A 27,710-nucleotide genomic window follows, 5' to 3' on the forward strand; every position below is an offset into this window, starting at 1 on the left:
CTGGGCATGGTGGTGGGTGCCTGTAATCCCAGCTACTCAGGAGGCTGAGACAGGAGAATCTCTTGAACCTGGGAGGCGGAGGTTGCTGTGCCCTGAGATGGCACCACTGCACTCCAGCCTGGGCAATAAAGTGAGACTCTGTCTCAAAAACAAACAAACAAAAAAAGTTAAATGACCTGATGAAGGTGGCATATATAACAAGTTTAGTGATAGAAATGAGATCAGAATAAGAATCTCCTAATCCTCCTGACCCTCATTCTTCCACTATAAAGTGATTGTGTCTTTGCTCACCTGGCCCCATCATCTATCTCCTCTCTTTTCCTACTTCAGTTCATTCTAAAACCTATGGCCAGATCCATCTATATAAAATATTACTTTCCTCATAAATCTTTTATCTCTCCACATTGATTGTAAAGTAAGCACGAATTCCCTATTCAATGACTCAGTATGGATGCAACCTACCTTTCTAGTCCAGTTTAAAAACAAAAAATGTATCAATATAATTTATTCACATTAATAAAGGAGGAAATTATATGTTTCTTTCAAGACTATCAAAAAATTTGCTGATTTTCAATATTATGTATAATCAAAAAGAAACTCAGTGCCAAGCATGGTGGCTCACACATGTAATCCCAATGACTCAAGAGGCTGAGGCAGCAGGACTGCTTGAGCCCAGGAGTTGGAGGCTGCAATGAGCTGTGGTCGCACCGCTGCACTCCAGCCTGCGTGACAGTGCAAGACCCAAATACAAGAAAAAGAAAAGAAAAGAAAAGAAAGAGAAAGAGAAAGGAAGAAACCCAATTCACCTCAGTTAATTTCCCAAAGAAATGAAAGCTTATCTTCACACAAAAACTTGTGCACTAATTTTTATAGCAGTTTTGTTCATAACAGCTCAAAACTAGAAACAATCCAGATGGCCTTTATCAGGTGAATGATTAAAATCTGGTACATCCATATCATGGGAGACACTCAACAATAAAAAGGAATGAATAATTAACTTGTAGAGCAGCCTGGATGAATCTTCACGGAATTATTCTAAATGAAAAAAGTCAATCCAGAAGATCACATACAGTACGATTCCATTTAAATAACACTGAGACAACAAAATTAGAAATGGAGAACAGATTAGTGGTTGCTAGGGTTTAGAGATGGAGTAGAGGAGTGGATGTGACTATGAAGGAGTCCCATGAGGGGGACCCTAGAAACAGTTTTGTATCTAAACTGGTAGTCTGAATCTACACATGTGATAAAACTGCATAGGCCTACACACACATGCATACGTGTGTGTGTCCATGAGAACACAGAAAACTGGTTAAATTAAAATAATCTCTGTAGATTGCACCAAAATCAGTTTCCTAGTTTGATAGTATCATTATACGGGATGTTACCATGAGGGAAACTGGGTGAAGAGTATGCAGGACCTCCCGGTACATTTTTTCCAACTTTCTATCAATATAAAATTATTCCAAAATAAAAAGTTTTAAATATATTAAAATATAAAGAGATTTTAAGCAAAGAAATAAAAAATCCTGACTTCTTAATTTCCTTTGGTTTTAACCATGAAACATTATTTGATCCTGCCCAGTGTGAGAAAATTTAAAAGGGGATGTGATTTAATGCCATCTCTCCAGTCAATGTGCAGGTAGGTAGAGTTTTTTCAATGATGAGAAGACCAGAGGTTGAAAGGGGAGCTCAGTGTGCAGGTGAAACAAAGCTGGTTAAATGAACCAGAAGTCCATGGTGACCCCTGACAGGATGCTGCAGCAAATTTAAGGATACTCAGCATCAGTAGAAAGAAGCCAATGAAGACCTAAAGAGGTAACTGCAAATATTTAAGGCTTTATACAAAAGGTACTTAATAACACTTCGATGCTTGCATTTCATTAAGATTCTGCCTTTGAAGTCAGCCTGACCAAGGTCTGAGTACCAGCTTCCCATCATTCTTTGGGTAATGTTTAAAATTTAACCCCTTTGAGGCTCTGTTCCCTCATGAGTAAAATAGGATTAGTAGTAGTATTCACTTGTTTGGGGTGGCTCTGAGAATAAAAAGGAATAATGCTGTAAAATGTACAACATAGTTCCTAGAGCATAAGTGGACAATAAAGGACAGATATTAATTTTTCTGTATTCCCTAAAAAGGAAGGAAGGAAGGAGGAAACTTTTTAGCAAACGAGAAACAGAAAGATAATTCTTTAACTTGTTAAAGGTTACATTTTTAAAAAACTATAATAAGTATTAAAACAATGAAGAAACTTTAGATTTATTCTCTTTGAGATCAGAAACAAGACCATAGTTCCCATCTATCACTGCTAACTTTTAACCTATTGCTGTCAGCCATGGCCAATGATATAAAGAAAAAAATAATTAATAAAAAATGAAAGGGCCTGGTGCAGTGGCTTACACCTGTAAAACCAGCACTTTGAGAGGCTGAGGTGGAGGATTGGTTGAGGCCAGGAGTTCCACACTAGCAACTCTGGGCAACATAGCAAGACCCTGTCTCTACACACACAAAGAATTTTAACTAGCTGTGTGTGGTGGCACATGCCTATAGTCCCAGCTACTCAGAAGGCTGAGGTGGAAGGATCCCTGGAGCCCAGGAGTTTGAAAATACAGTGAGCTGTGATTGCGCCACTGCACTCCAGCCTGGACGACAGAGTGAGAAACTATCTCAAAAAAAAAAAAAAACAAGCAAAAACAAAAAACGAACAAAAAAAACCCCTGCAATTACTTGCAATAAAAATATGATAATCTACCTAAAAACCATCAGCAACAGATTCAGCAGACAAACTGCAGAATTATAATTAATATGAGAGTTCAAAGTGGTTGCCAGATAAAATATCAATCTCCAAAAATAACTTCCATTTCTTCACACCAGTAATAACATGCTAGAAGAGACATGCAAATGTGAAACTGTCACAATAGCAAAAAGAAATTACAAATAATATAAAGACAAAAGTAACAAATGCCTTTATGGAGAAAAAATTCCAATAAAAGAATAAAATATTATTTAAATAAATGGAGAAATGGTCCATACTCTTGGATAGGACAACTTATTGTAAATATTCTCACCAATTTAACCTATTTAATGCAATACCAATCTAAATTCCAGTTGAATTGTTTGAGGAACTTGATAAATTTTATTTAAAATATATATATATATACACATATTATATATATGTATAATATGTATATATATATTTTTTTGAGATGGAGTTTCAATCTTGTTGCCCAGGCTGGAGTGCAGTGGCACGACCTCGGCTCACTGCAACCTCCACCTCCCAGGTTCAAGCTATTCTCCTGCCTTAGCCTCCCAAGTAGCTGGGATTACAGGCATGTGCCACCACGCCCAGCTAACTTTTTGTATTTAGCAGAGATGGGGTTTCACCATGTTGGTCAGGCTGGTCTCGGATTCCTGACCCCAGGTGATCCACCTGTCTCAGCCTCCCAAAGTGCTAGGGTTACAGGTATGAGCCACCGTGGCTGGCCTAAAATTTATATCGATGAATAAAGGTCTATGAATAGCTAAGTTAACCCTATAAAGGCAATGATGGAGTTACCTCAAGAATAATAGACTAGCCCTGCATAGTGGCATGTGTCTGTAGTCCCAGATACTTGAGAGGCTGAGGTGGGAGGACTGTTTGACCCAGGAGTTCAAATCCAGTTTGGGCAAAATAGAGAGACCTTGTCTCTAAATAATAATAATAAATAGAACAAATGGAACATAATAGCAAAACAAATCAAAGGAAGAAAAAGATTGATAAACCAGCTCACTGTATGGAGAAAAATGTAATCAGGACCTTAACTAACTGCACAAATGCAAAAGAAAACATTGATTATGTTGGTAACTTCAAAATATCAAAGTTCTGTTAAACTAAGGACATCTCTGACAAAATTATTACATGATAGAATTATGGAAGCTGATAAGAATTTTGAAATTTCAAAAAACAAAAAACAAACAAGGAGTTAATATCTAGAATATACAAGGGTATTTTGCAAATCAGAAAGATAAAACTAGCACACCCAATAGAAAAATGGATAGAGAATATGAACAAGCGATTTAGAGAATAAACTCAAAAAGGTAGCAGAAATATGATAAGGTGTTCAAAATCACTGAAAATCAGATATATGAAAATTAAAACAGTGTGCATATCATTTTACACTTATTAGACTGGCAAAATTCTAAAAGCTATAAAACGACAAATGTAGGCATGTGGTAATAGAACAAAGGTTCTGTTCTGTTGGCAGGAGTGTAGACTGTTGCAGCCATTACAGACAGCAACTGATCTGTACACAGTCAAATTACCAATATGGCCAACAGTTTCACTAAGGATAGAAACCAAAGATTCTCACAAAGGCCAATAAGAAGACACAGACAAAACATTCACGTCAGAATTGTTTATGGCATCAGGAAGATGAAGGTAACCAGAAAGTTCCTCATTAGAAAAGTGGACAGGTAAAATATGGTACACACAAATGTTTCATGAAGTTCTAATGCAGCAGTTAGAAGCAATGCATTAGAATCACTTACCACACCTTAAATAGATCTTTAAAACATACTGCTGAGTAGAAAAGTAGGGCACAGAATGAGATACAATGTGTAACAGAATACCATTTTCCTAAATTAAAACCCATGTGTATAAAAATCTCCACATATTTGGCAGTAACACAAACAAGAATACATATCAAACACATATTCAATGTTAAATAAAATGTCATTTAAATAATTATTTATAGGTTGAAGACAAAAATGGGAGTAGGTTGTGAAGATTAAAATTAATTAATTAATTATTAAACCAAGCTGATTAAGAAGAAACAAAAAACCTAAATAAACTGGTAATCATTAAACTGAGTATGTGAACAAGTCTTCTCCCTTACCATACTCAAAACAGATACCAGGGCCTTGCAGATATACATGCAAGTTTTACTAAAACCATCAGGCAGAGATAGTTACTATTCATAGAACCTAATTTAGAAACTAGAAAGAGAGGGGGTACCCAGCTCATGCCCTGAGGCCTATATACGACTTGGATACCGAATCCAGATGATTTTGGTATAAGAAATATATACAGTATAAGACCAAATTCTCATATGCACATGAGTGCAAAGTATCCTAAACAGAACACAAGAATATCAGCCAGGTGTGGTGGCTCACACCTGTAATCCTAGCAATGTGGGAGACTGAGGTGGGCGGATTACTTGAGCCTAGGAGTTCAAGACAAGCCTGAGCAACACAGTGAAACCCTATCCCCACAAAAAAATATGAAAATTAGCCAGGCATGGTGACACACACCTGTAGTCCGAGCTACTCAGGAGGCTGAGGTGGGAGAATCACCTGAGCCCTGGAAGTCGAGGCTGCAGTGAGCCTTGTTTGAGCCACTGCACTCCAGCCTGGGAGACAGAGTGAGTTTCTGTCTCAAAAAAAAAAAAAAAAAAAGAATACAAGAATATGAAGTTGAACAGTGTATAAAAACCTGATATAATTCAACATGGTAGCATTTTCCACAAGAATGAAAGAATGGGTCAAAATTGGGAAATCTAATTATATAAATTACGATATTAACAGATTAAAGGAAAACTACGTATCATTATTTACACAAGCTTCTATGGATCGGATATGGTTTGTTTGTCCTCACCAAAATTCATACTGAAATTTTATCCCGAATGTGGCAGTGTTGGTAGATGGGGCTTAGTGGGAGGCATTTGGTTCGTGGGGGCAGAGCCATTATGAATGGCTTGGTGCCCTTCTAGAGGTAATGGATGAGTTATTGCTCTCACAAGACTAGATTAATTATCCAGGAATGGATTAATTCCAAGGAGAGTGGGTTGTTATAAAGCCAGGATGCCTGTTGGTTTTGTCTCTTTGCATGTGTCCACTTCCCCTTGACCTTCTCTGCTATGTTATGATGCAACATGTAGCCTTGGCCAGAAGCCAAGGTCGTGTCCTCGAATTTCCTGGCATGCAGAACAACAAGCTAAATAAAATTCTTTTCTTTATAAATTACCTAGTCTCAGACCCAGCAGTCCCATGAGAAATGAAAACATATGCCTCACAAAAACTTATATGCAAAATTTCATAGCAACTTTATTCATAATCTAAAATACCCCTTCAACTGGTAAATTAACAAATACATGGTAGTACATCCATACAATGGAATTCCACTCAGCAACAAAGAACAATCTATTGAAATACATAACAACATGGAGGAATCGTAAACACATTATGCTAAGTGAAAGAAACCAGATACCCAAAATCTACATGCTGTGTAATCCATTTATATGACATTTTGGATAAGACAAAACCATTGGGATGGAGAAGAAATCAGCAGTTTCCAGGGATTGTGCATAAAGAAAGGAGTTGACTACAAAGGGATATTATTTCATATATCTTGTCTGTGGTGATAATTACACAACTCTATGCATTGGTCAAATACTCATAGCATGTACCAAAAATAGTGAATTTTACTCTATATAAATTTTAAAAATAAATAATTTTCATAGGGATAATGAGCAATTCACAAAAGAAGAAATCCAAATGGCCAATAAACCCCTTTCATGGCGTTATTCTAATAAACCCCTTTAACATCACTAATATCAGGAAATGCAAATTTAAAACTACAAAATAACATTTCCCACTCAGAAGACTGGAAAACTTAAGAAGTTGGTTAAAGATTTTGAGAAAAGGGAATTCTCATAAACTGCTGGTGGGAATGGAAATTGACACATTCAGAGAGCAATTTGGTAATATTTTGTAAGGTTGAAGATACATATAATGTATATCTACAATTCTGCTTCTTTGTACCTGGAAGAAATCTAGCACATGTGCACAAGAAGACATGCAACAGAATGCTAAGTGCAGCATTATTTATAATATCAAACATTGGAAGTAATATATATGTCAGTCAAAAGGAGAATGTATAAATAAACTAGTGACATTTTGATGCAATGAAATGATGTTCAGCATTTGAAATGCATGAACAGAGGCCAAGTGTATCAAATAAATAAATATCGATAACTAAATGTTGAGTGAATGAAACAAGCTGCAGAATAACACATGTGGTATGATATTTACATAAAGTTTGAAGACAAGTAAAACAATACTACATATTGTATATTGATAAATACGTACTTAGTAGTCATTTAAAAACTTGAAGTGGAATGATAAACACTAAATTTAGGATAATGATTACCTCTGAGGAGGATTGGAAAGGAATGAGATCTCGGAGAGCCACAAAGAGGTCTCTAACTCTATATGTAATGTTTATTTTCTTCAAAATAAAAATACAAAGAAAATTCGGCAAAATGCTGAGAATTTATTTGTTTTCTTATTTTCTGAATGTTTTGCAAAAAAAAGAAGAAATAATAGAAAATTATTCATGTAAACATGTCCATTGAAAATTATCTCATAGCTGCAGTGGTTCACGTGCTGCTCTTTGGGAAACAATACTTGTATTAGTCTGTTTTCACACGGATATAAAGAACTTCCCTGAGACTGGGTAATTTATAAAGAAAAGAGGTTTAATTGACTCAGTTCTGCATGGCTGGGGAGGCCTCAGGAAACTTACAATCAAGGTGGAAGGGGAAGCAGGCATGTTTTATTTGTCGGCAGGTGAGATAGAGAGAGAGAGAGAGCCAGTGCACGAAGGAAGAAGAGCCTCACACTTATCAAACAACCAGATCTCTTGAGAATTCACTCACTATCATGAGAACAACATGCGAGAAACCACCCCCACAATCCAATCACCTCCCTTTCTTGACAAGTGGGGATTACAATTTGAGATGAGATTTGGGTGGGGATACAGAGCCAAACCATATGCTCTAGTGGCTTAGAACATAGACTACAGAAGTCAGGTTCAAATCTTGCCTCTACCATGTACTGGCTGTGTGGCCTTAAGAAAGTTACTTAATCTCTTTAAACAGCAGTTTCCTCTTTGGGAAGTTGGGGTAGTATCTGCTTCCTAATGTAGTTGTGATAATTAAATACTGATTTAGGGATAGTCAGGAAGGATAATAACTTCAAAACAGTACATTTTCTGGCCCATGGAAATTGCTAAAAAAATGAGAGTTGTTATTGAATAAATTATTACCAGTGGGTTAAAGTCAAGAAAGACATTCTGGAAGAAGTGACACTGGTTTGCTTCTCAAAGGACTTTGAAAAATTAACCAGCTGTGCAAGGGAATCATTGGGTGTTTTATACAAAAGGAACAGACTGCATATGGTCAGAAGCATGAAAGTACATGATCAAACTTGGGGAGTATCCATGAACAAAGCCAAACATCTAATTTTTGTACTCCTAGTCTCTGACACATATTTCACCTCCAACCTTGGGTGTATCCTTTACAAAGCACAGCATAAGTCAAAACACACTTTGGAGATGATGATGAATAGTTTTGACATGAGTGGAAGGAATGATGACCTGTGGGAAGCAATAATTTATCTGGACTTGAACAAATTGTGTAGTCATATGATAAAAACAGAACTGGAAGGAAACATGGTGAACACATCTAATGATCATCCTTCTTTTCCCTACTTTTATTTTCGTTTTCTATAGTATCTTCATTTTCCAGATGCCCTATGGAAAATGAGTCTGCTGAAATAATGCTACTCAAGTTATAAATCTTTAGACAAGATTGATATAACTGATGAAATTAGCTTTTTGTTGGGGTTCAGTGGCTGAACAATGGACTGGATCACTGCCTGACTGGTTGAATTACATTAATAACCAGACTCAGAACTTGTAGGTCTGGCTATTACGTTGTCCTAAGGAACAAGACAATCCAGAATGATTCTAATTCAGTAAAGCTTGCATTTTATGACAGTCAAAATTTTAAATTGAATAGAAAATGATAATTGTGGTGGTGCCACATAGTTATAACCTAACCGTAACATTCTTTTTCTTAGAAATACAAAAAATAGACGTGAATGGGGAAAATAACAAAATGGCCAAAGGGCCTGTAGAATAAATCAGAATTCTGTTACCACACCACTGTAACATTATACCCAAGTCTTGCTAATCATATTGTATTAGCAACTATATACAAGATAGGTATGATCAGGTAGCTTGAGCCAAATCTCTTCTTAATACCAATGTCCTCAGGGAGAAACGGAGAACCAAAACTCTAGTAGCAATGGCATATTTAGTGTTATGAAAGGAATTGATATTGGAGCCAAGGCAACAATTTTCCTCTTTGTCCAAACATCTGAAAATGATAATTTTTCAAAGATGTCTAAAATCAACGTGGAGCAAGAAGGAAAATGGTCACGCAAAAGCCAATGCAGTCAAGAGCTTAGAACAGTTGTGCAGCTTAGTTTGGCAACTCAAGCACACAAGCCTCCCAAATAACACAGGGTGCAATTTCATAGCTTGGGCTGCCCTGTTTCTCGAATTCTGCCATAAATTAGTCTACTAAGTATATTTGTTTGACAACCCATAAAAATATTCATAAAGGTGTTCTTTCAGAAAACAAAAAATGAAGATTGCTGATTTTCAATGGGTGAAAAGTTTCCCAAAAACACATTTTTTAAAAAGGTTAGGGCCGGTGAGATGGCTCAAGCCTGTAATCCTAGCAATTGGGGAGACTGAGGCAGAAGGATTGCTTGAAGCCAGGAGTTCGAGACCAGACTGAGCAACAAAGGGAGAGTTTGTATCTAAAAAAGAATAAAACAACTTAGCCGGAGGTGGTGGTACATGCCTGTTGACACTGCTACTCAGGAGGCTAAGGTAGAAGGATTCCTTGAGCCCAGGAGTTTGAGGTCTGCAGTGAGCCATGATCCCATCACTCCAGCCTGGGTGATACGGTGAGACCTAGTCTCAAGAAAAAAAAAAAAAAAGCTAGGAAGTAAATTTTTATCAAAATACATTATGGATTTTTAGTTTTTTAACTTTGCAGATTAACTTCTATTTCATTCAAGCCTTAAAACATGCCTCCCTCAGCCAGGTGTGGTGGCTCACACCTGTAATCCCAGCACTTTGGGAGGCCGAGGCTGGCAGATCATGAGGTCAGGAGTTCGAGACCAGACCAGCCTGGCCAATATAGTGAAACCCCATCTCTACTAAAAATACAAAATTAGCCAGGCGTGGTGGCGCATGCCTGTAATCTCAGCTACTCGGGAGGTTGAAGCGGGAGAATCGCTTGAACCCAGGAGGTGGAGGTTGCGGTGAGCCGAGATTGTGCCATTGCACTCCAGCCTGGGCAACAAGAGCAAAATTCCATCTCAAAACAACAAAACAAACAAACAAGCAAAAACCCTCCTTCTTGCTTCCCATTTTAGATGAAAAAGACTAGCACAGAGTCCCCTTGACTGGCCAAAGTCACATACAAGGAGGTCCTGAGCCCATAGCCAAGGCCTGGGGTCCAAAAGGACCAGGCAGCCTGTGTCCAGGGACAGTTTTGGTCCACAGTGAGACCCTGATGGCTATTGCCACACTGGTGGGACAGGCTCCTCTCCTGCGGGACTACACATACAAGATAGCTACTGTCATATCCTCCAGGTCCAAGGGGCTGAACTGAGCACTTAACACAAAAGGTGAATGTTGTAAAGGGACAAATCATGCCTGGAAGGTCTCAAAAGCCCGGAGATGCAGCAGCAGACAACAGCTGCAAGTTGTCACGACTGTTGCCTGACAGTGGCTGCTGCAGGTTTCTCAGAGGAAGGGAAGGAAGTCCCAGTCCTCCTGCAGGTTCAGGAGGCCTCGGGTTATCCTCAAACTCACCCTTCTGGTCGACCTTCTGGCCCCCTGCATATGTGAAGCCCAGCTTCACACAGATGATGAAGGGCAGTGGGTAGATTGGAACCCTGGGCTTTTCCTGAGATTCCCCTAGCAGTAGAGGCCCGTGAGCTTGTTCTCATCAATGTCACAAAACAGACCAACCTTACGCTGCAATCCAGCCTGCACCCCTGCTTGCCCCCAGTTCCCGATGGTGAAGATCACCCAGTGCGTGAGGACGAGAAAGTGGGAGCAGCAAGGCCAGATGGTGGCCTCCAAGACAGAGTGTGTGGTCGTGTGCTGGTGGTAGCAGTAGAGGAGGAGGCTCTGCTCCACGTCGACAACCCCACCGACTTTTCCGAAGTGGTCAAAGAAAAACAGCAGGTCTTCTGGCAGCCCTGCAAGAGGGAAAGAGAAGCATCCACCGTTGCTGGTGGTTTTGCTCTAAGTTGTTCATTTTTCATTCCTGTGATTGAATCTAAAGGCAAACAATTTCAGTGTTAACTAGAACCCCAGGCCCCTCAGATGATTTCCAAGAGAATAGGTACATATGTAATATGTACTTCCTTGCCCATATCTTTAATGACTCCCCCAGCACTTTGCAAATATATTTCTTAATTTTCATGCCTGATTCCGAGGTGGCCAGAGAAGAAAACAGAAACTGAAATGGGTAATAGACTTCCACTCACACATTGTTGGCTAGCATAAGAGGGAAAGTGGAGAGCCTCTTTTAGATTTCTCTGGGAGGTTAGAAGCAGATGGAGAAATCCTTGAGGCATAGACATTGGGAAGTAGAATGTGGGAAAGAATTTGAGAAGGACAAATCTTCATACTTTAAACAAACGATAAAAATCAGAAGAGCAAATGCAGCTGCCAAAAAGAGAATGTGCAGTCTTGGGAGTAGAGGCTGCTCGTTTTTACGTTGTTGCCTTACCAAAATGCAAAAAAAAAAAAAAAAAAAAAAAAAAAAAAAAAAAAAAGCTGATTTGACAGAAATTCTTTTTTTGTTTTATTTTGTTTTGTTTTGAGATGGTGTCTCACGCTGTCGCCTGGGCTGGAGTGCAATGGTGTGATCTTAGCTCACTGCAACCTCTGCCTCCCGGGTTAAAGCGATTCTCCTGCCTCAGCCTCCCGAGTAGCAGAGATTACAGGTGTGCACCACCACGCCCTGCTAATTTTTTGTATTTTTAGTAGAGACAAGGTTTCACTATGTTGGCCAGGCTCGTCTCAAACTCCTGACCTCGTGATCCACCTGCCTCGGCCTCCCAAAGAGCTGGGATTACAGGCGTGAGCCACCGTGCCCAGCCAACAGAGATTCTAAAAGTTCAGTGTCTATAGTGGAAATATGTTTTTTTTCCAGAGCCATCCCAGCAGTAGCTTTCATTCATAAAATGCTGTCTTGTATTCTTCAGCAGTTCAGGCATACTTAAATCACAGGAGTAGAAAATCGTTCATTTTGGGACAATGGTCCCGTTCCCACTGGTGATAAGTCTAGTCCATGCCATGCACGTTCAGACTGCTGTTGTTTCTAAGGGGGTAATCATTGGCCTTCTGGTTGCAGAAAGAGAACAGGGACATGTGCACTGTGCTCCAAAATGTCATCTATCACTGTTAATATCTCTCAGGAAAGAAGGCAAGCCTGTGAAAGGCTGTAAACAGCTTGCAGAACTGCAATAGGAGCTTTTTTGGCAATCAAGAAAAATACTCATGTGACCTCCAAGACCACCAAGTAAAAGGACCTGATTATTGCTTCCTACAAACTTGTCTTTGGTGTTCAAGCTGGAGTTGTCTTTTTCAATGCAATCCATCTTTTGATCTGCTACCGACCTTTCCTACTCTGCTAGGGTCTGTGATCCCTTTTCTCACTGATATTTATGTCCCATATGAAAGCAATTATTCAACAGCACATTTCTGAAGTTGAGGAAGGCAACATCTCATACTTCACTATATCTTGCAAAGGTTCCACTCTACCCAAAATGAGCAAAAAATCACTGTCTCAAAAACAGAAGTCCGGAGCCTTAAAGACCGTGACCCTTTATTGGACTAACCTGAATTTTTGTTTACTTTGGTATATTTAGATTTAAATTTTTAGAAGCCACCGGCTGAGAGCGGTGGCTCACACCTGTAATCCAAGCACTTTGGGAGGCTGAGGCAGGAGGATCGCTTGAGCCCAGGAGTTTGAGATCAGCCAGGGCAACATAAAGAGTCCCCCATCTCTACAAAAAAAATGAAAAATTAGCTGGACATGGTGGCGCGCACCCATAGTCTCAGCTACTTGGGAGCCTGAGGTGGGAGGACCGCTTGAGCCCAGGAGGTTGTGACTGCAGTGAGCCGTGATTGCGCCACTACACTTCAGCCTGGGCAACAGAGTAAGACTTTGTCTCAAAAAAACAAAACAAAACAAAAAACAAAAATGAAAACAAAAATAGCAATATATTCTTGTCATAAAAAGAATTTAAATAATAACGAACGTATCATTAAAAAAAAATCAGGTATGCTTCCCTCAACACTGCTCCTCCAAGAAAACTTAACAGATTGATGCGTAGTCTTACAAATTCCTTTCAATTCTTATAAGGATATCTATGCCTTGTCCAAATCTCTCTACATTTTAAGAGAATAAATGGGATCAGAGTTGTTTGAAATTTGCTTTTTTTAGCATCATATAAGTAGAATGCTTACTACATTAGTACATAAAGTATTTCATTTTTAAACTTATGTGTGTACATTTTTGTTTAAAATTGCTGTTTCTCAGATTATAAAAATAGTATATATTCACTCTAGAAAATTCGAGGAATACAGACAATTATAAATAAGAAGATTAAAAACAATACCACTAAAATATAAACACTGGTAATGTTTTGGCATATAGTCACTTAGTCTTTTATCTGGGCAAGAGAATAGAGGTATGGCTGCTTGTGTTATGCTTCTTTTTGTTACTACATTGAGATACACCAGTCTAATGTGCATTTTACCCTTCTTCTTTACTAAAGGAATTCAATTCTCTGCAGTATAGCAATAGTTCCAGCAAAAACCAATGTTTCCAGTTAGTTAAAGATTCTGGATGAATGAGATGGAAGGGAAAGTTTATTGGAGATTTCAGGCAACATCTTGCTTTCCTTATTATTTCCTGGGAGCATGCATGTGAGGCTGGATGTGGAACAGCCACCTTGTAACCATGAGATGACAAGCATGAGGACAAAATCACGGGCTAAGAGTGGTAGAATGGAAAGATAGAAGGAGCCTGGGACATGGATGATGACGGGAAAACATTGGAGAAGCTCAGGATGTTCTACCTTCATATTTTTGGTAATATGAGGAAAATAAAATCCTATTTGAAAAACCTATTATAGTCAAAGTTCTAGTATATGAAAATAAACATGATCTCTGATATTCTCTAGATGCAAACTTTTAAAATCCTACTTTGTTCGTTTGACATTACATTGTGAGCACTTCCTGATGACATTAAATATTTCTTAAAAGGATAACTTTTAATTGCTGCATAATATGTATTCTGTTGTGATCCAAACAACTGCTCTGTAGTTAGTATTAATGATAATTAGAAAATAGGAGGTTGGCCAGGTGCGGTAGCTCACGCCTATAATCCTAGCACTTTGGGAGGCCAAGGCTGGTAGATGCCCTGAGGTCAGGAGTTTGAGACTAGCCTGACCAACATGGCAAAACCCCATCTCTATGAAAAATACAAAAATTAGTCAGTATGGTGGCGGATGCCTGAAATCCCAGCTACTCAGGAGGCTGAGGCAGGAGAATCACTTGAACCCAGGAGGTGAAGGTTTCAGTGAGCCGAGATCACGCCACTGCACTCAAGCCTGGGCAACAGAGCCAGACCATCAGGCAAGCAAGCAAGCAAGCAAGCAAGAAAGAAAGAAAGAAAGAAAGAAAGAAAGAAAGAAAGAAAGAAAGAAAGAAAAAGGAAGGAAGGAAGGAAGGAAGGAAGGAAGGAAGGAAGGAAGGAAGGAAGGAAGGAAATAGGAGGTTAAGTTCAGCCTGGGCAACACAGCAAGACCTTGTCTCTACAAAATAATGATAAAATTAGTTTTTTTTTTTTTAGATGGAGTTTTTTTGCTCTTGTTGCCCAGGCTGGAGTGCGCAATTGCGGCTTGCTGCAACCTCCGCCTCCCGGGTTCAAGTACCTGCCACCACACCCGGCTAATTTTTTGTATTTTTAGTAGAGACAGGGTTTTGCCATGTTGGCCAGGCTGGTCTCGAACTCCTGACCTCAGGTGATCCACCTGCCTCGGCATCCTAAATTGCTGGGATTACAGGCATGAGCCACCATGCCTGGCAAAATTAGTATTCTTTTAAAAAGATAGAAAAGTCGAAACTTTCACAAGAGCAGCCCTTTCTTCAGCACCGTGGACCCACTTCTCATTCTAGAGTTTTTAAGGACTGGGTTTTATAGGCTTATACTGATTTTTGTGATAGTCACCATAGCACTATGATTTCTGTACTCTAAATCAAAGTTCATCAAGCACTGAGAAAACTCCACAGATGAGCAGTTAGCTGGTTCTGCTGAATAAGGTGATAAGCTAATATTTTAAGGTTTTAACTATTTTTTTCTTCATATATTCTGCCCTTTTCTTTCCTTCCATCTGAGTAGGTAGCTGGCTCTGTTCTCACTGTCTTGGGGAAAAGAGATAAAAGGTGACACAGCAAAAACCGTAAGTGTCTTGCAAGTTCAGGGATTCAAGAGGTCTAATCCCACAAAGGAAGAAATTCCACAAGCACTGAGGACGTTTAAAATATAGAAAGGGAGAAGGCTTTTCCTCAAACTAGAAATGGATTATTCCAAGCTGGGCGAGAGGAGTGCAGAGAATCAAGTAACTTTCATTTATCGGCTGTTCTAGCAGGGAAGCATCAAGATCCTAGAAAGCAACGGCTGTTAGGTGCTTCTTGACAGGCAAGTCTGTATGAAGAGTTGGCAAAGATTCCTCAGCCCCAAGAGCACTAGGAAAGCAGCCAAGGACCTCTGACTTGAAGGGACCCAAGGACCAGGAGACTGGACATCTCAGCAGTTATCTATTTACACCTCTGATTAACAACTATATGCCTGTCTCTTCATTACTGTGATTCACCCCATATCCCCCAGCACCTTGGTATCACACAAGAACTCAAATGCATGACATTGCTATGTTAAGGAGCCCACCATTGGGGCTCAAACTCTGAAATATAGATGTTAGAGAAATAGTTATATTTTTGCATAACAATGATTGAAGCCTCAGAATCATACATGCTGCAACAATGTTAAGGATGAGCTCGATGAGCTCTTCTAACCCCAGTTTTTATCATGCAATGATTCACTATGATGTTTTCTGCTCTGGCCAAGAAAAAAAAAGCCATTCTGATAACAGGAAATTTATCTCACACTTATAAAAAGCACACACTTGAATAGCTTTATCTTAAGATTTTGGCATTAGCTTCTACCCTAATTCATATCCACATTTAGGGTTACACAGAACTACACCCCAACAAAAGTCAATTTCCAGATGTTTAACTTATCAGCCAGCTCTACCACAGTTTAAAATTATGATGCCAGGAAGTCTGATTATTTCAAATTTGAAAAGAATATTACCAAGCCACACCTTTCAAAAAATTTTATTAGCATCTGACTCTTTGCTGAACAAGGAAGATGGGAAATGTAGTTGCATTCACAAAGAATGTGTGGAGACTGCCAAGAAAGCAAATCATTTTTGGAAGCCACCCTTATTTGGAAATATTCTAGTTATAGAACTATGGTTTTTTTAAACAAAAGCATTCACCATATCCCCTTTTGAAAACACATCTTTCCGAAATATAGGAAAAGAATCAAATACTATGCTATTCACTTTCTTCTACGATTTACTTGAAAACAACTAAGGTAAAAAGAAAAAAAAAAAGGACAATGCTTGCCAAGAACTGCAAGTAGCTTCCTGTAGGCATTGTGATGTAGTGGAAAAAGCAAAGTCTCTGCAGTCAGACAGACCTGTTTTTGAAGCCTGACTGCACTCAACTAGTTGGGTGACCTTGGGCAAGTAACTTTATCTTCTCTATGATTCATCTGTAAAAATAATTAAATTATATTAAATGAGAAAACATATGTGAAAGTGCTTATTGAAAGATATTCTCTCTGTAAGCCTTAAGGAAAAGCATAATAGTTATACATGGTTACTCTGATATATGGTAAAAAAACAAGTGCATGTCTTAGTAAATGCCCAAAACTATTTAGACAAGTTCTAAAAGGAATTAAGCAGCAAAATGACGTAAAGTGTTACTTGGCCATATGCAAAATTAGAAACTGGAGTGAGATACATTGAAATAACTCCTACTTATTGTACTTCAAATGGCTCCTATAAAGATCCTTTTTAAAGTCACTAGCTGCCTTATGAAATTTGCTATAAGCAAGACTTCTAGAAATTCTAATGTTCTAGAATTCTAATGCCAGATCTTGCTATTTCTAAGGGAATTATGAGAAGAAGATCAATGAAAAATGAATATCAGCAGTGTCTCCTCTTTTAGCCGGAGTAAAATATTAGCTCAAGTCCAAAGGCAGCAGATGAGGTGACTTTCAGTAAAGTGAAGACTCTAGGGTTGATGGCAAGATTATAAAGTAGCTACCCCATCTCAAGTCATTCTCTCAGTTGTCCAATAATTTCATGATGGGCTGGGCACACCTATAAGCCCAGCACTTTGGGAGGCCGAGACAGGAGGATCACTTGAGGCCAGGAGTTCCAGACCAGCCTGGATAACATAGTGAGACCCCATCTCTACAAAAGAAAAATTAGCTGGGTGTGGTGGTATACCTCACACTCCAGAGGCACCTCAGCCTCCAGAGTAGCTGGTAGTTCCAGCTTGAGTCCAGGAGCTCAAGGTTACAGTAAGTCCAGATGGCACCATTGCACTCCAGCCTGGGTGACAGAGTGAGACCCTGTCTCAAAAATAATAGTAATAATTTCATTATGTCCTTTGGCTGTGTTGAAATTATTCGGTTAAGAAACCTCTACTCTAAGTATTATAATCAAGAAGTCAGTAAACTATGGTGCATGAGCCAAACTCAGCCTGCTGTGCTTTTGTAAATAAAGTTTTATTTGAATACAGTCATGCCCATTCAGCTATGTAGTGTTATGCATGCTTTTGCACCACAACAGCAGAGTTGAGAAGCTGTGACAGACTGTGTAATCCACAAAGACTAAAATATTTAATGTTTGGACCTTTAAAAAAAAAAATGTGCCAACGCCTGCTCTAACCCCTAAAAATCCACTTGCTACCTAAAATCAAAGACAATATATTTAACCTATCTATGAAATATTTTCATTTTAAAACATAACCATGTTAACACTATCTGTAGGTTGCCTCCTTCAGCAGAGTGAGAGTCCTCTTTGTGCACCTTGCCCATGCTTATTCCTTTTCCAGAATAATAGAAGTCAGCAGTGTGGCACCCTGCATTAGAAAATTTGCCAAATTTTGATTTGGAGTCACTGTAAACTTTGCATTAAAAAAAAAAAAAGCATGTGGAAGCTAATCTGCAGTTAGCTGCCTTTATTTCATTATCTTAGTTAAACAAACCCAAGTATAGCCAAAGTCAGCTTTGGAGGAGGTCTACCAATCTCTTAGGAGATTTGCTCTGAAGTAATATGCCTGAAACATATTAACTGTCCAACATTCTTTCTAAAGATTTGAAAACTTTGAGAATCATAGCAATGATATCTCTTGGAATACTGAGCAATGAGCCACAGCACTGTTGCGTTTCAGAAACCTTCCTCCCAAATCAAAATTGACAATCAGTCTGATTCAGCCCATAACTCATCCTCCCAAATAATGTGGTTTGAAAGATAAGGAGTCTGAATGAAGTAAAATAATGGCTGAAATAACTTGAAAAACAGATAGAAGACTGGAATCAGGGCAAAATCTCCATTCTAAGTATGCAAAGCCTTCAGGATGGATCCAAGCTACCATAAGTAATTCAAAAGCTATAACTTACTTGTGTCCAAGGGTCTTTGATATAAGAAGCTGGAGTGGAGAAAGTCAAAAAGAAGATTAGTCTGCCTTCCTTTGTTCTTCGTGGACATGTTCCAAGGTAAAGTTCAAACTAATGTTAGTCTTGGTTATTTAGTTTTATTATGCATACAACAAAAATAAAGCAATCTCCATATTTTTCCCAATAAGTTGCAGGTTTTAAAATATATTTTAAAATAAAACTGATGGGGGTGGGGGGAGCTTCTTTTTGAAAACTGAATCTAAATAAAGGCCAGTAAAGTTTATAGTCTGGGTACTGAGGAAGGTGATTTTTTTTTTTTTTTTTGAGACTGAGTTTTGCTCTTGTTGCCCAGCAATGGCGCAATCTCGGCTCACTGCAACCTCCACCTCCCAGGTTCAAGTGAGTCTCCTGCCTCAGCCTCCCAAGTAGCTAGTATTACAGGAATGCACCACCACGCCTGGCTAATTTTTGTATTTTTAGTAGAGACGGGGTTTCTCCATGTTGGTCAGGCTGGTCTCGAACTCCCGACCTCAGATGATCCGCCCGCCTCAGCCTCCCAAAGTGCTGGGATCACAGGCGTGAGCCACCGCGCCTGGCAGAAGGTGAAATTTTAAATGGCAAATTAGTATATCTTTAGCAACAAAACAACATATAATGACATAGTTTCCTACAGTTCACAGATAGTTTTTACTGGATTCTAAATCTGGTTCTGCCATTTGGTTGCTAAAGAACTTTACTTCTCAGTTTTTGCCTGGGAGAGAAAAAAAAAAAAAAACAGAATGAAAGCTATTCCTAGAATAATGTGGTGACTTGAGGACTGTAAGTTCTAAGTTGTTTAGAGGTATATACTGATCCTTTTGGAGGAAAAGGAAAGGAGACTTTTACTGGAGTTCCTGGAGCTATTTGCAAATATGCTTTGAAACAGGAGTGCCAGAGCAAGGCACTAAAGCAAGTCTCATGACAACAGGAGCCCCACTATCGGGCCAATAATTATTTCAGAGAACCCAAGTAATGAAATACTACCAGGTTAACAGAAATGTAGTGACATATCTATTCCACCCACAGGCTTAGGGACAGGGAGAAATGGCTGAATAGTTACAGAATGTGCATGTGTCTGTAAAGCTGAGTAGATTACTTTCAGCCAGACACCGATGAGGGGCCTTGGACCATGTCCACCGGAAAGGGGAAAATGAAAACTGAAACACTAAAGGCAGAGAACTGGAGTACTACTGAGCTCCCCCAGGGTCTGCAATTATGGTAAATTTCTTTTTGCCCAAAGTAAAAAGAAAGAGGTCTTTTTAGGGGGCTCTGTCAAATAGTCATCAGGAATTGGCCAATTTTAACCTATACACAGTGGCAAGGGCAAGCAGAGGACTTTTAAATTGTAAACCAGACCACATTACTCTCTTGTCTAATCACTTTTCTAATTAAGTCTAAAATCCTAATCGTGAGCCAGTATGGCCCTACATGTTTTTTATTCAATCCACCTCCACCTCTCTGACCTCATGTTCCACTGCTTTGTATACCCTGTTCTAGCCTTACTCTTCTCCTTGCCGTTTCTAGAATATGGTAAACTCATTCATACCTCAGAACCTTCAGATACGCTGCCGCCTTGTCCTGGAAAGATCTTCCCCGGAAACTGTATATGGTTTATTCCCTCACTACATTAATGTATCTACTCAAACATCACCACCTAAGAGTGGCTGTACCTGACTACCTTGTATAAAATAACCCCTCCCATTCACTCTCTATCTCTTTATCCTGCTTTAATTTTCCAATGAGTAATGATCAGCATGTGATGATACAGTATATATGTATTGATTAATTTATTATGTAACCCGGCCGGGCACGGTGGCTCACGCCTGTAATCCCAGCACTTTGGGAGGCCGAGGTGGGCGGATCATGAGGTCAAGAGATCGAGACCATCCTGGCTAACATGGTGAAACCCCATCTCTACTAAAAATATAAAAAAATTAGCCGGGCGTGGTGGCGGGCGCCGGTAGTCCCAGCTACTCGGGAGGCTGAGGCAGGAGAATGGCGTGAACCCAGGAGGCTGAGCTTGCAGCGAACCGAGATCGCGCCACTGCACTCCAGCCTGGGCGACAGAGCGAGACTCTGTCTCAAAAACAAACAAACAAAAAATTTATTATGTATCCCTCACAAGATTGCAAGCTCCATGAGGGCAGGGACTTGGTTTTGTTCACTTCTTATCCCTGAGGTTTAGAATAGGGTCTGACATGTAGTGAGTACTCAACCAATAATTGTTGAATAAATAAATGATTTGAAATAGATGCTGGAGTGAAATCAGCTTTTGTAGAAATTTCGCTCCCAGACTGTACTAGACATAAAATATCTCAAACAGTTAAACATATAAAAATCAATTTTTAAAATGATTTCTGGAAAAGTTACTTGCCTGAATGACCTTGGCCATTCCACATTTTAACTCACATTTCAACTTCATCCTACATGATGCCATTTAAACATGGTCCCTCTTTAGTAGCAAGACATAGGGTTGGTATAATGCTTATTGTTGGTCTAAGAATATCCAAACCCTCTTATTTTGGCAAGGCCGGAGAGAGATGAAATATCTTTTGTTCAGAACAACCTTAGAAATAAAGACATACTCACTTTTTTGGGAAATTACTTTGGGATGTTGAGACAGAAGATTACTTGAGCCCAGGAGTTCGAGACAAGGCTGGACAATATAGAGAGACACTGTAGCTGGGACCACAGGCACACACCACCACGCCTGGCTAAATGGTGGTGTGTGCCTGTGGTCCCAGCTACTCAAGAGGCTGAGATGGGAGGATTGCTTGAGACTGGGAAGTCAAGGCTGCAATGAGCTGTGATCATGCTGCTGCATTCCAACTTGGGTGACAGAGTGAGACCCTGTCAAAAAAACAAACAAACAAAAAAACCCTAATCACCACTTTGGAAAATTAGACCCACAGAGATTGTTGGTTTATTTAAACAGACTTGAGCATCAGCATTTTAGCCTCACATAGTACTATATAATTGTACACCCTTGCACCTGAAGAGGCTTTTGCCACTCAGTGAGTTAAGACACCTTTATATTGTTTATAGAGTAGGTGTGACAGACGGAACTCATTTTTGCACTTGCTCTGAAGCACCTTGTAGAGAAAGTTAGCAGGTTCTGGAAGCTATCTGGGGCCACAGAGCAAAGATTTTATCTATACCAATGAAACTCAACAGCTCAGCCAAGTATTGACAGTGACACCATTATTAAGCTCCACTGTGTACCCAAGTGAACAAATGTTTCCTGCATTATGTTATGTTAATCCCCCAGCATCTCATATTCCACTCTGCTCAAACTGGGCTATGCCCTTTTACTGATGATATCCTGTATTTTTCTACCTTAATACTTTTGCTGCTGCTGTTCCCTAATTTGTGCTATAGTTTTTTTTCCCGTGTATCTAACACATCTCTTTTATTTAACTGTGAGCCTATTCATTCATTCATTTAAGTATAATCTTATAACAAAGGGGAAAAGAAAAAAATAAGTAAGCTAAACTAAAGATCTAATCAGGAGACCTCATTGTTAAAACATATAGCAGAAATATGGTATTAGGGATGCTTGATGCCAGATGAAGCTGCTGAGAGTCATGGACTCATGTTCATGGTCCACAAGGGTCTATCTCGAGTATTAGAAATCAAGGTGACTTAGTTTTATTGCAACCTGGGCTAGCCAAAAACATAGTTCAACAAATAGTTTTGGCCAGGCACAGTGGCTCACGACTCTAACGAACTTTGGGAGACCAAGGCAGGAGGATCCCTTGAGGCCAGGAGTTTGAGACAAGTCCAAGCAAGATGGTAAGACCCTGTCATTAAAAAAAAGAAAATTTGTAATTAGCTGGACATGGGGGCATGTACCTGTAGTCCCAGCGACTCAAGAGGCTGAGGTGGGAGGATGGCTTGAGCCCTGAAGATCTAGGCTGCAGTGAGCCGTGGATGCACCACTGCACTCCAGCCTGGGCAACAGAGTGAGACCCTGTCTCAAAACAAAAACAAAAACAAAAACAAAAAAACAGGTTTTTTTTTTAAATAGTTTTAAAACTTATACACAAAGTCAAATAAGGCATGTTCCCTGCCTGAAGGGGTGAAAAAACATGGACCAACAAATATAATAATTGGAATACATGATAAAATATGCACATGGTTAGGAACATATCATCTTATTCCTCTTTACCTCCCCCTGACTGCCTAACAATGTCTTATACACAATAATTTATTTTTTCTAGTTTTTCCATTTTGCATTTTTAAAAAATGAGACAGTGTTTCACTCTGTCACCCAGACTGGAGTGCAGTGGCACAATCACAGTTCTTGCAGCCTCAACCTCCCAAGCTCAAGCGATCTTCCCACCTCAGCCTCTCAAGTACCTGAGACTACAGGTACACACCACTATGCCTGGCTAATTTTTTAATTTTTTTGTAGAGACAGAGTTTTCCTATACTGTCCAGGCTGGTCTTGAACTCCTGGGTTTAAGCAATCCACCCACCTTGACCTCCCAAAGTTCTGGGATTACAGGCATGAACCACAACACCTGGCCAGTAATCAATATATATTTATAAAATTGAATGGAATTCAATTTTCCAAACTAGAAGGCACAGATTCAGATCCTACCTTGGTATAAATATTCTCTGTTCAATACAGACTTGCTATAAGCTATGTGGAACATGGGAAGGTAGAAAACATTAATTTCAAGTGCCAGGTTAAAATTATGTTGAAAAGTAAAATTAGTTGCCCTATGGTTCAACATGCAAATTGCAGCACCAAAACAGAAACTGAAAAATAGAGTAGGCTGGGTGCAGTGTCTCACATCTATAATCCCAGCACTCTGGGAGGCTGAGGTGGGAAGATCACTTGGGCCTAGGAGTTCAAGACAAGCCTGGGCAACATAGTAAGACCTTGTCTCTACAAAAAATAAAATTAGCTGGGTGCAGTGGCATGCACCTGTAGTCCTAGCTACTCTGGAGGCTGAGGTGGGAGGATCACTTGGGACTGGGAGGTTGAGGCTGCAGTGAGCTGTGACGGTACTACTGCATTCCAGCCTGGGCAACAGAGTGCGACCTTGATTCGGTTAATTAATTAATTAATTAATTTGTACTTAAGATATAAAGTTTCAAATAAGATATACCCTATGTTAAGATATTATATCACCAAAACTATGCTTTGATATACCCTATGTTAAGATATTATATCACCAAAACTATGCTTTTTCAACTCCAACATTTTCAAAAACCTTTAAAAAGTTTTCCAAGGTTAAAGGCAAGTAAGAAATATTTCACATTTCAGAGCCAGTTATCCTTGAAAATTATGGAAATTGTTTCTTTTTCAGTTGATCATAGAATGGGCTGATTGCCATAAGTTACCATGTGACACAGGAAGGAAAAAGGATGTTGGCAGTGAAATGCTCTATTTGTAACTCTTTATTTAATTTTCAATGTGAGATGAGGGATGATAGAGCTATATCATGAGTCTCCTCAAAATTATATATTCATTTTTGACCTGTAAATGCCTGAGTTACAGGGCTGGATTAAGCCCTATAAAGGCACTAAGCCATGAAAAGATTGCAGTGCCTCCACTTTATATGTGATTTAGAATTTAAAAGATATGCTATAATTCATAGGACAGTGCACGAAAAAGTTCATTTTACTGTATGATAATTTTAAAAATAAAATAATGATATACTATATACTAAGTAAATAGAAATCTAAGCTATATTTAGGTTTTTCCCATAATGACTGTCTCAATGCTTTGCATAAAATAATAAACTCCAAATTCTCCCGCCCCCCAAAAGAGTTCATGCCCCAGGTTTGTGATCACGTGCTCTGTCTATTGGGTAAAACCAGCACTGTATGAGAGGAGTTACCCACAGCCTTCTCTTAGCTTTACAATTTTTTTTTAAGAGATGAGGTCTTGCAGCCCTGGCTGGAGTACAATGGCACGATCATAGCTCACTGCGGCCTCAAACTCTGGGCTCAAGCAATCCTCCCATCTCAGACTCCGAATAGCTGGGACTGCAGACCCATCACCATGCTTGGCTGGCTTTAGAATCTTTAGAGCAATTCAGAGCTGAATAACATCCAAGAATAAGTTTCCTTGAGTAGAAATGCAAAGGATATAGCTCTTATAATGGCTACCAGTATAGGCCTTCTGTAAACCCAGAGAAGCCAGGTGCTAGCATAGTATGATTTCAGGAGCACACTGGGGGCAATTTGGTCCTCCTGACTTGTATTTCTTACCATGTAGTCAATCCTAATGGCTTTTGTTCAGAAGAAATGAAGAGCTAAACTGGGTTGAGGCATTCTGTTTTGTCAGAGGGATAACATCTGTATGGATGAGGAATTGGTTTATATAACTAAAAGATATTCCTTTGCCACCAAGCCAAAAGCTGGACATAAGAATGGCCAACTAGAGCAGGGATGGGAATGAGAGGAGGGGAAAGCTGGGATATGATTCATATCAAATTTTATTTAAATGTGTTTTTTAAAGTTGTGTTTAGGTGTAGCAAAGTTTTATAATACCAAGCTATTTTTAGAGGATAGTCTAGGTAATGAACAAAAATACTCTTGCATGTGTCAAATCGCTCAGAGGACCAGGTGCATGGCTGGCAAATACCAGGTGGAATAAAAGCAGGGAAGCAGCAGCAAAGATTGAAAGGCAATCTATTTAGGAAAGAACTGGTCAACAGGGTGGAGGAGGAAGCGAAGGAGCAGTTCAAGCTGTGTGGCCTGATTAATTTTTCTGTTGTGGAAGCTGAATGCATGAGACAGATTCTTCCATAAGCTTTCAAATAGGAAGAGACTGAGCAATTCAGGGGCAGCACAGCCAAGTGCCGCAAGATACATGAAGCAGTAAGATTCTTTTTCAAGGACAGTTAAGTTCATAATGTAAACTGGGGGCAGAGGAGGAGTTTCAGGAGTTTTGAGCCTTGATTGGATTGTTAGAAGTCTAACTCAATAGCCAAAAAATAGAAACAGCCCAAATACCCATCAACAGACAAATGAATGAACAAACTATTGTATATACATGCAATTGAATATGATCCAACTGTACAAAAAGAATGAAGTACTGCTACATGCTACAACATGGATGAATCTGGAAAATATTATGCTATGTGAAAAAAGTTAGTTGCAAAAGACCACATATTGTATGATTCTATTTATATGAAATGTCCAGAATAGGCAAATTTGTACAAAAACTCTATCAGTGGTTGCCAGGAGCTGGGGCAATGGAATTGGCAAGCAACTACTTAATAGGTATGGGGTTTCCTTTCCAGGTGATGAAAACCATTTGGAACTAGTTAGTGGCAGTGGGTGTACAATATTGCAAACCACTGAATTTTTCCTTTTAAAATGGTTAATTTTATGTGAATTTCAACTAAATGAAAAAAAATTTGGCCAGGCACAGTGGCTCACACCTGTAAATCCCAGCACTTTGGAAGGCCAAGGCAGACGGATCACCTGAGGTCAGGAGTTCGAGACCAGCCTGACCAACATGGAGAAATCCCATCTCTACTAAAAATACAAAATTAGCCAGGCATGGTGGCACATGCCTGTAATCCCAGCTACTCGGGAGGCTGAGGCAGGAGAATCACTTGATCCCGTGAGGTGGAGGTTTCAGTGACCCGAGATCATGCCATTGCACTCCAGCCTGTGCAACAAGAGCAAAACTCCATCTAAAAAAAAAAAAAGAAAAGAAAAAAGTCTTACTCGAATCACAGGAGGCTCTATCTAACTTTTAATATTCAAGGTCACTTATTTTTAAGCTTGAGTTACATTAAAATCAGAAAATAATATTTAAAAATTAATGAGAATAGTTGCTAATTATTTTTAAATATTTCTATTTCCTTTTTTATTTAGATGGAGTCTCGCTCTGTCTCCCAGGCTGGAGTGCAATGGTGCAATCTCGGCTCACTGGAACCTCTGCCTCCCAGGTTCAAGCAATTCTCCTGCCTCAGCCTCCCAAGTACCTGGGATTACAGGTGTGCACCACCACACCTGGCTAATTTTTTGTATTTTAGTAGAGACGGGGTTTCACAATGTTGGTCAAGATGGAGATATTTCTATTTCCATATGCCTTGATGTATTATATGTTTTGATGAATAATGTATTTTCTATAATAGAGAATATATATAACTGACCAGTGGTGATATTCAAAATATTTAATGACTTGTGCAGCATGGACACTGACAAATCAGATACATTACCAGATGTCAACAACTGATGGGCAAATGTTCTACTTACATTATCTCTGATAATCAATTTAATAGGAAGTTTAGCTGAGCAAACAATGAAGCCATAACCAAGGCACCACAGTCTTCCCTATGACAATGAGTCTGATCTATAAACCTAGCATCCAGGAGGAAATAAATAGGTACACAGACACTGGTATTAAAAGCTATGTCACATATGTTTGTGATGTGTTATTAGTGAATAGTTCATTGTTTGGCTTGAATGTTTACATGGCCTAGTATTTTTCCCTGCATAGTCTGTAACAGGGAAAATCATTAGGCTGTATGTCATGCTCTACATTCTGTTGTGAAAGGCAGTCAACTAATGCCAGGGAATGACATCTGCAGAACTTTGTCTGGAATCGGAACGTACGGACATGCCACATACAGCTGAAGTGATATATCTGGATTCAATATTTATATCCCCCCAAAGTTTCTATGTTGAAGTTTTCCCAATGTGATGGTATTTGGAAATGGAGCCTTTACGAAATAATTAGGGTTAGATAGGGTCCGGGGGAGGGTGTCCTCATGATGAGATTAGTGCCCTTATAAGCTCTTACCAGAGAGCTCACTTATTCTCCCTATGTGAACACAGAGAAGAGGTCATGAGCACACAGCAATATGGTGGGCCACCTACAAGCCAAGAAAAGAGGCCTCAGAATGAAACCTACCTTGCCCTGCACCTTGATCCTAGACTTCCAGTCTCCAGAACTGTGAAAAATAAATTTCTGTTGTTTAAGCCACCCAGTCTGTGGTATTTTGTTATGGCAGCCTGAG

The 27,710-nt window shown here is 39.3% G+C and overlaps 1 long non-coding RNA gene and 1 pseudogene across 1 annotated transcript; both read right to left on the reverse strand.

Moving 5' to 3' along the window:
- Positions 1-6,057: 6,057 nt before the first annotated feature.
- Positions 6,058-21,567, reverse strand: LOC124905206 (uncharacterized). Its single transcript, XR_007068305.1, has 2 exons — positions 21,307-21,567; positions 6,058-11,104 (listed from the first exon to the last, which is right to left on the reverse strand). It is a non-coding gene; the product is annotated as an uncharacterized LOC124905206 (long non-coding RNA).
- Positions 10,644-11,099, reverse strand: LOC105373314 (UDP-GlcNAc:betaGal beta-1,3-N-acetylglucosaminyltransferase-like protein 1; annotated as a pseudogene).
- Positions 21,568-27,710: the final 6,143 nt, after the last annotated feature.

This window comes from Homo sapiens, chromosome X (assembly GCF_000001405.40).
Source record: "Homo sapiens chromosome X, GRCh38.p14 Primary Assembly".
Taxonomy (NCBI): domain Eukaryota; kingdom Metazoa; phylum Chordata; class Mammalia; order Primates; family Hominidae; genus Homo; species Homo sapiens.